The sequence below is a fragment of the Homo sapiens genome, chromosome 11 (assembly GCF_000001405.40).
Source record: "Homo sapiens chromosome 11, GRCh38.p14 Primary Assembly".
Lineage (NCBI taxonomy): Eukaryota > Metazoa > Chordata > Mammalia > Primates > Hominidae > Homo > Homo sapiens.
The window spans coordinates 77947783-77959965 of record NC_000011.10 but is presented as its reverse complement, the minus strand read 5'-3'; the positions used below and the strand labels follow the sequence as shown (position 1 = coordinate 77959965).

Genomic DNA, 12183 nt, shown 5'->3' with positions numbered 1-12183 from the left:
GAAGGGTGACCAAGACCGTAGGATCATATAAAAAAAAAGTCACATGCATGTAGTAGTAGTGGTAAAGAAAGGTATAATGAAGTTGTGGAAAAGCTGATTGATGGCCAACCAAAAGGCCTTATGAGGCTGTATTTCTCTTGGAGGATAATTGACTGAATCTGGTAAAAGGAATCTAAATCCACGTTCAGAGATTAGGTTTTGTTAGCCTGCCAAGAGTGGTTTTATCTCTCATGGGAAGAAGATAATTAGCCAAGCCCCATCACAGATGTGTAAACCAAGTTTATTCCTCTATTGAATGAAGTAGAATGGGTCCAGAATGCTTGTGGTGGTGTGACCATCGCCTTCTTTTTCTATAAGAAAACTATGTGGGAAGCCAAATAATTCAAAGGAAACTTGGATCGTAAGGACTCAGAGGAAGGGAAGTTAGTTGGCTGATTCAGATGTTTGGTGGCGTAAGACTCTGTTAGTAATCTAGGCAAGCAGTAATGACAGCATCAAGGGAGTGAGGATGGACTGATAGTGTAGAATTTAAGATATAAGGTAGAATTTGCTTCCTTAATGAGTTCAGGTTTGCGTGTGTTGAGTATAAAAGTTTGATGGGACATCCATGAAGAGAATTCCAGCCATAAGTAGTTATAAAGGCCTGGAGATCAGGAGAAATCAGAGCTAAGGGTAGGTATTCAAAGCCATCAGTATTTAGGGAGTATGGGGCTACCCAGAAAGAGTGAGTGGATTGAAACAGAGGCCAGTGATTTCAGACCAAGGTAAACAGAAGTGTGTGCTTTGATTTTTACAGGGGGAGGAAAAAGCCATAATTGGTGTTTGAACCTGTGAGAACAGTACTGTTTGCTCCCAGCATGCTTTGCTGGGTTTGATCTGTTCTAGATGTTTTTATGCTGTCAGTCTGTGATTCTCCTTTCAGACATGGGGTAGGGTGCATAGTCAGAATACAGCCAGAGCAGCTGACAGAGGTCAAGATTCATTTTTAAGCAAAGATTCCAGAAGTTAAAACCACACACAAGTGTTTTACTGGGCATCCTTATCCAACCACCCTATCTTCACTTTGAAAATAGTTTAAACATTGCCTGAGAGGACACAGAACTAATAGACTTTTGGAATTCTTCTTTGCAGGCCTGTAAATTACTCTCTGATGACTATGAACAAGTGCGCAGTGCTGCAGTCCAGCTTATCTGGGTCGTCAGTCAGCTCTATCCTGAAAGGTCAGTGTGGGTGTAAGCTGGCTTTTGTTGATTGTGAAGCCGTTTTCCTCTCCTCTCACCATGCAAAAAGCCCACTTCTAGAAAAGAAATGTTGGTTACATTTTTGGAAGGCAATGGGGAATAAGGGAAAAGCACAGGCCCTGAAAATCAGATTGCCTGGTCCTCATTTTTCATCTCTGATAGGAACTTTCTGTACACTTTGGAAAGATACTTCACTTCTTTTATCCTAACCTTCTCATCCATAAGTGAAGAAATTGGAATATCTTTCTTAAATGGTTTTCAGTACTTTACAAAAAAATCTTTAAAATTGTTTGGGACCCATTTTAGTTTGGCTTGTGCCAAATGCCAGATAAAGATACCAGATGAGTTTGAGAATAATGATCTCTTATGTAGTTTTCCTGGTTAAAAATATTTTCACAGCAATTAAATTAACCACAGTGATTCTTTGAGGAGGTAGGCAATATTATTTATTATATTTTGTAAGATAGAATATTATATTTATAAATGTTTATTTATCTTTTATTTATAAATATTTATAGAATATTTTATTTTTCCTTGTATAGGAAAAAGGGGTGTTTTTTCCTGTTCATTAAACTGCCAGAATTTGAAAACCAGAATGAATTAATAAACCTGTAGGAGTAGGCTCCATTTGTAGTGTTTTAGGACTTAGACACATACAAAGAAAAGGGCTAACTGGAAATTGTGTCTTCTTTTAGGACTGGATTGATAAGTAAGTTTTATATTGATTTATTCTGAGATTTACTGTATTTATAGAAGTTCAGTCTGGACACGGTGGTGCCTGTAATCCCAGCACTTTCGGAGGCCGAGGTGGGCGGATCACCTCAGGTCAGGAGTTCAAGACCAGCTTGGTCAACATGGTGAAACCTCGTCTCTACTAAAAATACAAAAATTAGCCGGACATGGTGGCACACGCCTGTAATCCCAGCTACTAGGGAGGCTGAGGCAGGAGAATCGCTTGAACCTGGGAAGTGGAGATTGTGGTGAGCTGAGATCACACCACTGCACTCCAGCCTGGGTCACAGAGCAAGACACTTTCTCTCAAAAAAAAAAAAAAAAAAAAAGAAGTTCAGTTACAGAAGATAATAAACTTAAGGATATGAAATATTCGGTGGAAGCTAGTTTTTGATAATTTCATAAATCTTTGAACCTTTGGTGGGTTACGTACTTTTTTTTTTAAGGCAGGGTCTTGCTCTGTGGCCCAGGCTGCAGTGCAGTGATGTGATCTCGGCTTACTACAACCTCCAACTCCTGGGTTGAAGCAATTCTCATGCCTGAGCCTCCCAAGTAGCTGGAATTACAGTCGCGCACCACCACACCCAGCTCATTTTTTGTACTTTTAGTAGAGATGAGGTTTTGCCATGTTGGGTAGGCTGGTCTTGAACCCCTGGCTTCAGGTAATCTGCCCGCCTCAGTATCTCAGTGTGCTGGGATTACACGCCTGGCTGAACCTTTGGTGGGTTACACACTTTTATTCAATACATTGAAAATTTGCACCTGGTTGCAGTGACTCAGCCCTGTAATCCTAGCACTTTGGGAGGCTGAGGCGGGTGGATTGCTTGATCTCAGGAGTTTGAGATCAGCCTGGGCAACATGGTGAACCATCTCTACTAAAAATATAAAAAATTAGCTGGGTGTGGTGGCATGCTTTTGTAGTCCCGGCTACTCAGGAGGGTGAACTGGGAGGATCACCTGAGCCCAGGAAGTTGACACTGTGGTGAGCAGTGCTCACGCCACTGCACTCCAGCCTGGGCGACAGAAGTGAGACCCTGTCTCAAAAAAAAGCATAATTTGCAATGCAACTGAAAGAGTTGGTTTGTACTCCCAGAGTGATTTGTTTATTCCAAACTGTATTTAATCATTCTAGGATTTGAACTATTCAATTATCATTTTTGTGTGTGTCAGTCTTCATTGACTGTTCTCAGTTTATTGAGCCTGCAGCCTTACTTACTTATGTATTTATTTGTTTATTATTATTATTATTATTATTATTATTATTATTATTATTATTATTATTTTTTGAGATGGAGTCTCGCTCTGTTGCCCAGGCTGGAGTGTAGTGGCACTATCTTGGATCACTGCAACCTCCACATTCCAGGTTCAAGCGATTCTCCTGCCTCAGCCTCCTGAGTAGCTGGAATTGCAGACATGTGTCACCATGCCTGGCTAATTTTTATATTTTTAGTAGAGAGGAGGTTTCGCCATGTTGGCCAGGCTGGTCTCGAACTCTTGACCTCAAGTTATCCACCTGCCTCAGCCTCCCAAAGTGCTGGCATTACAGGCGTGAGCCATTGCGCCCAGACTGTATTTATTTTTCAAGACAGGGTCTTGCTGTGTCATCCAGGCTGGAGTGCCGTGGTGTGATCTCAGCTCACTGCAACCTTCACCTCCAGAGCTAAAGTAATCTTCCCACTTCAGCCTCCCAAGTAGCTGGGACTATCAGCGCATGCCACCACGCCTAGCTAATTTTTGTATTTTTTTTGTAGAGATGAGGTTTTGCCATATTGCTCAGGTTGGTCTTGAACTCTTGGGCTCAAGCAATCTACCTGCCTGGGCCTCCCAAAGTGTTGGGATTATAGATGTGAGCCACTGTGCCTGGCCTGAGCCTGCAGACTTAGGTTCATGTTTTGTTCTAAGTGATTTCATTTCTTTTCTTTTAATTTAGCATTGTCCCAATTCCTTCTTCTAATGAAGAAATACGCTTAGTTGATGATGCGTTTGGCAAAATTTGTCACATGGTCAGTGATGGCTCTTGGGTGGTTCGTGTTCAGGCAGCAAAACTGTTGGTAAGTTATACTTTTTATGTATGTATGTATGCATGTATATATTTATTTTCTTTTCTGTAGAAATGAGGACTGTGTGGCCCAGGTTGGTCTCAAACTCTTGGCCTCAAGCAGTCCTCCTGCCTCAGCCTCCCAAAAGACTGGGATTATAGGCTGGGTGCGGTGACTCACACCTGTAATTCCAGCACTTTGGGAGGCCAAGGCAGGCGGATCACGAGGTCAGGAGATTGAGACCATCCTGGCCAACATGGTGAAATCCCGTCTCTACTAAAAATACAAAAATTAGCTGGGCATGGTGGCGCACGCCTGTAATCCCAGCTACTCGGGAGGCTGAGGCAGGAGAATCGCTTGAACCTGGGAGGCAGAAGTTGCAGTGAGCCAAGATCACGCTGCTGCACTCCAGCCTGGCGACAAGGGGGAGACTCTCATCTCAAAAAAAAAAAAAAAAGGCTGGGATTATAGATGTGAGCCACTACACCCAGCCAATAATCCTTTTTTTAAATGAGCACATTTCTCATTAAGTTTTTACAGACATTTTGAGAAACTACAGATGGGGCAGTGTGACCTGAATTTAAAACCCCAGAATTTATTTTCCTTTTTCTTTTCTTGAGACAGGGTCTTCCTCTGTTGCTCAGGCAGGAGTGCAATAGTGCAGTCACGGCTCACTGCAGCCTTGACCTGCCGGGCTCAAGCAATCCTTCCACCTCAGCCTCCTGAGTAGCTGGGACTACAGGCATGTGCCACCCTGCCTAGCTAATTTGTATTTTTTGTAGACATGGGGTCTTGCTTTGTGCCCAGGCTGGTCTTGAATTCCTAGGCTCAAGTGATCCTTCTGCCTTGGCCTCCCAAATTGTTGGGATTACAGGTTTAAGCCACTACTCCCAGCCCCAGAATTTCTTAATATAGAAAGAAATAGTTCACTCTCCTGTAGAGAAATAGCCTTTTAGAACTAGAAAGAATCTTAAAACATAATTCTATTAACCCTACTAGGAATTAAGATAGCCGGAGCCTAGAGAAAAAGGAAAACAATAAAAAAAAAGTTTTTCCCATTTATTAAGCACTTGTTATGTCCTAGTTCAGGAGGCTCAAACCCCCAGGCTGTGGACCAGTCCTGGTCCATGGCTTGTTAGGAACCAGGCCACACAACAGGAGGTGAGTGGTAGATGAGCAAGTATTACTGCCTGAGCTCTGCCTGCTGTCAGATCAGCAGCTGCATTAGATTATCATAGGAGTGTGAACCCTATTGTGAACTGAGCATGTGCGGGATCTAGGTTTCATCCTCCTTGTGAGAGTCTAATTCCTGATGATCTGAGGTGGAACAGTTTCATCCTAAAATTACCCTGCTTCACCACTCTTTCTGGTTTCTTCCATGAAACTGAACCCGGATGCCAAAAAGGTGGGGGACCACTATCTTAGATAATTTGAAGGAGGCCCCTTACATATATTTTCTCATTTTCTCTTTACAGTAACCCTGCAGGATAGATGCCATTATCCAGTTGGGGCATGGTGGCTCATGCCCATAATCCTAGCACTTTAGGAGGCTGAGGTGGGCAGGTCATTTGAGCCCAGGAGTTCAAGACCAGCCTGGGCAACACAGCAAGACCCCATCTCTATTTTTCAAAAAATAAAATTTTAAAAAATTAAAAAAAAATTTTTTTTTTAAAATGCTGTTATCATTTTCTAGATGAGAAAACTGAGGCTCTGAGGAGTTAAGTAAGTTATCCAGCTTATACAGACAGAAAATTGTAGAGTGAGGTCAGATCCTGATCTTGCATCTTTTAGCTTGGTACTTTTCTGTTTTCTTTTTGAGGACTCAGCACATTTATTGAAAATTTTTAACTTTTGTGGCTCACGCCTATAATCCCAGCACTTTGGGAGGCCAAGGCGGGCGGATCACGAGGTCAAGAGATCGAGACCATCCTGGCCAACATGGTGAAACCCCGTCTCTACTAAAAATACAAAAATTAGCTGGGCATGGTGGCACACGCCTCTAGTCCTAGCTACTTGGGAAGCTGAGACAGGAGAATCGCTTGAACCCGGGAGGCAGAGGTTACCCGGGAGGCAGAGGTGCAGTGGCTCACACCTATAATCCCAGCACTTTGGGAGGCCGAAGCGGGCAAATCACTTGAGGTCAGGAGTTCGAGACCAGCCTGGCCAACATGGTGAAACCCCATCTCTACTAAAAATACAAAAACTAGCCTGGTGTGATGACACACACCTGTAGTCCCAGCTATTCTGGAGGCTGAGGTGGGAGGATCACTTGAACCTGGGAGGCAGGGGTTGCAGTGAGCCGAGATTGTGCCATTGCACTCCAGCCTGTGCAAAAGAGCGAGACCCTGTCTCAAAAAAAAAAAAAATTGTTTAACTTTTAAGGGATAAAATTGTTTTGTAATAGAGTGTTGGCCTAATACCCTTATTTTATATCTGTGTTACCTTGTATATGTCACTTGATATTAGTCTCAGTTTCCTCATCTGTTAAGTGGGGTTCTAATATCTCTCATATTTACCTGACAGTGTTGTCATGATGCTCAAATGAGATACAGTCTATGAAAATGTTTATAAACTAAAAAGTACTATACTATGTAGGGTGGGTGGGGGCATAGTATATAAATATATGTGTGTGTAAGTATCTATAAAAATTTGTATACGTGTCACAGCAGGAAAATCTGTGATTCTTTTTGGACACTTCCCCTTTGAGTGCCCCCAGCCCTGCCACTCTTGGTGAGATTGTTGGCTGAATGCTTTGTTTCTGACTGTACTGGACACTGATCCGGTGATAGCTTTAGTCCTGTGACCAGTATTTATGGGAGTATTTGCTGAAACCTGTGTGAAGCGCTTTCATGAGATATAGTAATGGATGATTGGAGTATTTCCACTCTTGTGCATAGTAGAGTTAAACAAGCCAGCTGTTACTGATTTTATTTCTGAATTCATATTTTAAAACTTTCTTTTGGGTTATGAATGTTTTAAAATTCAGAACAGTCTAATCATTCATCAGATCCTTTCATTCGGCATTTACAGAGGATCTACAATGAACTCTAGGTGGGAGTGGGGAGGAGAAAGATGTTTTAGAGGAGTAAATTAATGATATATCTTTACCTGAATAGGCAGTTTTAAAAAGTAATCCTTAAAGTAAGAATCATTCAAAATTTTCAGTTTTGTACTCTATAGGATCTGAAATTTATTTGCATAAAGTTGTATGTATAACATATGGTACATTGAAATTTCTACTTGAATGACTCTAACTTGAGTCACATGCCTTGTGTTACAATTTCATGTTAAATCTGAACAGCTTCAAATTATATAAGTAATTATGTTTGTATTCAGAAAAAATAATCATTCTTATCTTGCTGATAATAATAATTACTACTATGTATAGAGTTCCTGGCCTACTAAATGAGGCATTTTTAGTCATACATACACACATAAATACACACATATTCACACATAACTATTAACCCACTTCTTTATATACAAGCACACATGCCTAACTCATTTGCATACTTTTGCAAGTAACTTTTAATCTTTTTAAACTCTCTGAGGTAAATGTATTACTTATAAATAACAAAATTAAAATTTAGGAATGTGGTATAATTTGTCTGAGACCACACAGATAGTAAATGACAGATGAGGACTTCAAACTTCATAATCTAAAGCCCACGTATAATCCTTTCCTGGTGAGTATCCAGTTACACATTGGGATTGGCCAGTTAAGGCCCTGCTGCTTTATTAGTATCTCTGTGCAAGCTAAGAGGTAAAGCTGCTCTACTCCAGCTCTCCAGTAGATAAACCTGTGATCAAGTGATTTGTGTACAATCTTTCATTAAAAATTAATTAATTTTAAAAAATTGACACATTGGTTGAACTAGTTTACAGTCCCACCAACAGTGTAAAAGTGTTCCTATTTCTCCACATCCTCTCCAGCACCTGTTGTTTCCTGACTTTTTAATGATTGCCATTCTAACTGGTGTGAGATGGTATCTCATTATGGTTTTGATTTGCATTTCTCTGATGGCCAGTGATGATGAGCATTTTTTCCTGTGTCTTTTGGCTGCATAAATGTCTTCTTTTGAGAAGTGTCTGCTCATATCCTTCGCCCACTTTTTGATGGGGCTGTTTGTTTTTTTCTTGTAGATTTGTTTGAGTTCATTGTAGATTCGGGATATTAGCCCTTTGTCGGATGAGTAGATTGCAAAAATTTTCTCCCATTCTGTAGGTTGCCTGTTCACTCTGATGGTAGTTTCTTTTGCTGTGCACAAGCTCTTTAGTTTAATTAGATCCCATTTGTCAATTTTGGCTTTTGTTACCATTGCTTTTGGTGTTTTTGACATGAAGTCCTTGCCCATGCCTGGGTCCTGAATGGTATTGCCTAGGTTTTCTTCTAGGATTTTTATGGTTTTAGGTCTAACATTTAAGTCTTTAATCCATCTTGAATTAATTTTTGTATAAGGTGTAAGGAAGGGATCCAGTTTCAGCTTTCTACATATGGCTAGCCAGTTTTCCCAGCACCATTTATTAAATAGAGAATCCTTTCCCCATTTCTTGTTTTTGTCAGATTTGTCAAAGATCAGATGGTTGTAGATATGCGGCATTATTTCTGAGGGTTCTGTTCTGTTCCATTGGTCTATCTCTCTCTTTTGGTACCTGTAGCGATTCCTCAGGGATCTTGAACTAGAAATACCATTTGACCCAGCAATCCCATTACTGGGTCTATACCCAAAGGATTATAAATCACGCTGCTATAAAGACACAAGCACATGTATGTTTATTGTGGCACTATTCACAATAGCAAAGACTTGGAACCAAGCCAGATGTCCAACAATGACAGACTGGATTAAGAAAATGTGGCACATATACACCATGGAATCCTATGCAGCCATAAAAAATGATGAGTTCATGTCCTTTGTAGGGACATGGATGAAGCTGGAAACCATCATTCTCAGCAAACTATCACAAGGACAAAAAATCCAAACACCGCCTGTTCTCACTCATAGGTGGGAATTGAACAATGAGAACACATGGACACAGGAAGGGGAACATCACACACCAGGGCCTGTTGTGGGGTGGGGGGAGGGGGGAGGGATAGCATTAGGAGATATACCTAATGTTAAATGACCAGTTGATGGGTACAGCACACCAACATGGCATATGTGTACATATGTAACTAACCTGCACGTTGTGCACATGTACCCTAAAACTTAAAGTATAATAAAACAAACAAACAAAAATTGACACATTGTATATATGGGGCACAAGTTGATGTTTTGATACACATCTATGTTGAATATTAATCCAATCAGGATAGTTAGTATAGTTATCACCTCATACATTTATCATTTCTTTGTCATGAACTTTCAACAGCCTCTCTTGCAGCTATAATATTGTATATTTTGTAATATACAATATTTTACTGTTAATCATAGTCACCTTTATGTGCAGTTGAACACCAGAATTTATTTCTCTTCATTGTGACTTTGTATCTGTTGTCCAGTCTCTTCCCATTCTCTCCTACTCCCTCCCCTCCCCAGTGTCTGCTAACCACTGTTATACTCTCTGCCTCTATGATATCAATTTTTTTTTTAATACTTTAAGTTCTGGGATACATGTGCAGAACATGCAGGTTTGTGACATAGGTATACATGTGCCATGGTAGTTTGCTGCACCCGTCAACCTATCATCTACATTAGGTATTTCTCCTAATGCTGTCCCTCCCCCAGCCCCCACCCTCTGACAGTCCCTGGTGTGTGATGTTTCCCTCCTTGTGTCCATGTGTTCACATTGTTCAACTCTCACTTATGAGTGAGAACATGCGGTATTTGGTTTTCTGTTCTTGTGTTAGTTTGCTGAGAATGATGGTTTCCAGCTTCATCCATGTCCCTGCACAGAACATGAACTCATCCTTTTTTGTGGCTGCATGGTATTCCATGGTGTATATGCGCCACATTTTCTTTGTCCAGTCTATCATTGATGGGCCTTTGGGTTGGTTCTAAGTCTTTACTGTTGTGAACAGTGCTGCAATAAACATACGTGTGCATGTGTTTTTATAGTAGAATGATTTATAATCCTTTGGGTATATACCCAGTAATGGGATTGCTGGGTCAAATGGTATTTCTGGTTCTAGATCCTTGAGGAATCGCCATGCTGTCTTCCACAATGGCTGAACTAATTTACACTCCCACCAACAGTGTGAAAGTGTTCCTGTTTCTCCACATCCTCTCCAGCACCTGTTGTTTTCTGACTTTTTAATGATTGCCATTCTAACTGGTGTGAGATGGTATCTCATTGTGGTTTTGATTTGCATTTCTCTAATGACCAGTGATGATGAGCTTTCTTTCATATGTTTGTTGGTCACATAAATGTCTTCTTTTGAGAAGTGTCTGTTCATATCCTTCACCCACTTTTTGATGGTTTTTTTTTTTTTTTTTGTAAATTTGTTTAAGTTCTTTGTAGATTCTGGATATTAGCTCTTTGGCAGATGGATAGATTGCAAAAATTTTCTCCCATTCTGTAGGTTGCTTGTTCACTCTGATGATAGTTTCTTTTGCTGTGCAGAAGCTCTTTAGTTTAATTAGATCCCATTTCTCAATTTTGGCTTCGTTGCCATTGCTTTTGGTGTTTTAGTCATGAAGTCTTTGCCCATGCCTATGTCCTGAATGGTATTGCCTAGGTTTTCTTCTAGGGTTTTTATGGTTTTAGGTCTTATGTTTAAGTCTTAGATCATGCAATATTTGCCTTTCCATGTCTGGCTTATTTCACTTTACATGATGTCCTCCAGGTTTATCGATGTGGCAAATGACAAGATTTTATTCTTTTTTTATTTTCTTCTTTAAGTCAGGGTCTTGCTCTGTTGCCTAGGCTGGAGTGCGGTTCCGCGATTGCACAGTCATAGCTCACAGCAACCTCAAACTCCTGGGGACTCCAGCCTGGATAACAGCGAAACTGTCGCTAAAAAAAACTAAAAACCAGATTGTTCTTCTTTTTTGATGTAGTCATTTATTGCTGTACACTTATCTCTTAGAACTGCTTTTGTTGCATACCGTAGGTTTTGGTATATGTTTTAATTCTTGCTTGTGAAGTGTGTTTCTTCTAGGCAATGTATACTTAGATTTTGTGTTTTAATCTATTCAACCAATGTATACCTTTTTTTTTTTTTCTTTCTTTGAGACAGGGTGTCTGTCTCTCTGTTGCCCAGGCTGTAGTGTACCTTTTAATTGAAGAACTTAATCCATTTATATTCAAGATTTTTTCCTTCTTCTTCTTCTTCTTTTTTTTTTTTGTTTTTTTTTTTTTGTTTCTTTGAGACAGGGTCTCACTCCGTCACCTAGGCTGGAATGCACTGGTGTGATCTCAACTCACTGCAACCTTCACCTCCTGGGTTCAAGTGGTTCTCGTGCCCCAACCTCCCCAGTACCGGGATTACAGGCATGTGCCACCATGCCCAACTAATTTTTTTGCATTTTTATTAGAGACGGGTTTTGACATGTTGGCCATGCTGGTCTCAAACTCCTGGCCTCAAGTGATTCGCCTGCCTTGGCCTCCCAAGGTGCTGGGATTACAGGCATAAGCCACCGCGCCCAGCTATATTCAAGATTGTTATTGATAGATAAGATCTTATTCCTGCCATTTTGTTAATTACCAAAAAGTAATTTTGGAGATCCTTTGTTCTTGTCTTCCTTTCTTGTTGTTTACCTCTGATTTAGTGGTTTTCTGTGGGGCCACGCTTTATTTTCATTCTCTTTCTTGTTTGTGTATCTGCTGTAACTTTTTTCTACATAGTTACTACAGAGTCTTCAGTTAGGCTGGTGTGGTGGCTCTTGCCTATTATCCCAGCACTTTGGGAGGCTGAGGCAGGCAGATCACTTGAGCTCATGAGTTTGAGACCAGCCTGGGCAACATAGTGAGACCTCGTTTCTACTAAATAAAGAAAAAAGAAATCAGCTGGGCATGGTGGCACACATCTGTAGTCTCAGCTACCCAGGAGGCTGAGGTGGGAGGATCACTTGAGCCTGGAAGATTGAGGCTGCAGTGAGCCGTGATCAGGCCACTATGCTCTAGCATGGGCATCAGAGTAAGACTGTCTCAAGGGGGAAAAAAAAAGTCTTGCAGTTACAATAGAATGTTTTAAGCTGATAGCAACTCAACTTTGGTTACATAAAAGGACC

The 12183-nt window shown here is 40.8% G+C and overlaps 1 protein-coding gene across 7 annotated transcripts in view; it reads left to right on the top strand.

Annotated features, from left to right (window-relative positions):
* Positions 1–12183, top strand: part of INTS4 (integrator complex subunit 4) — a 120307-nt gene that overhangs the window by 34703 nt on the left and 73421 nt on the right. For all 7 annotated transcript variants that reach the window (XR_002957208.2, XR_001748036.3, XM_017018560.3 and 4 more), the window contains exons 7-8: positions 1132–1220; positions 3904–4024. Coding sequence is in view for 5 of the 7 variants with exons in the window: in XM_017018560.3 (XP_016874049.1) it covers positions 1132–1220; positions 3904–4024 (210 nt within the window). In the remaining 2 variants the exon portion in view is untranslated. The remainder of the gene's footprint in view (positions 1–1131; positions 1221–3903; positions 4025–12183) is intronic.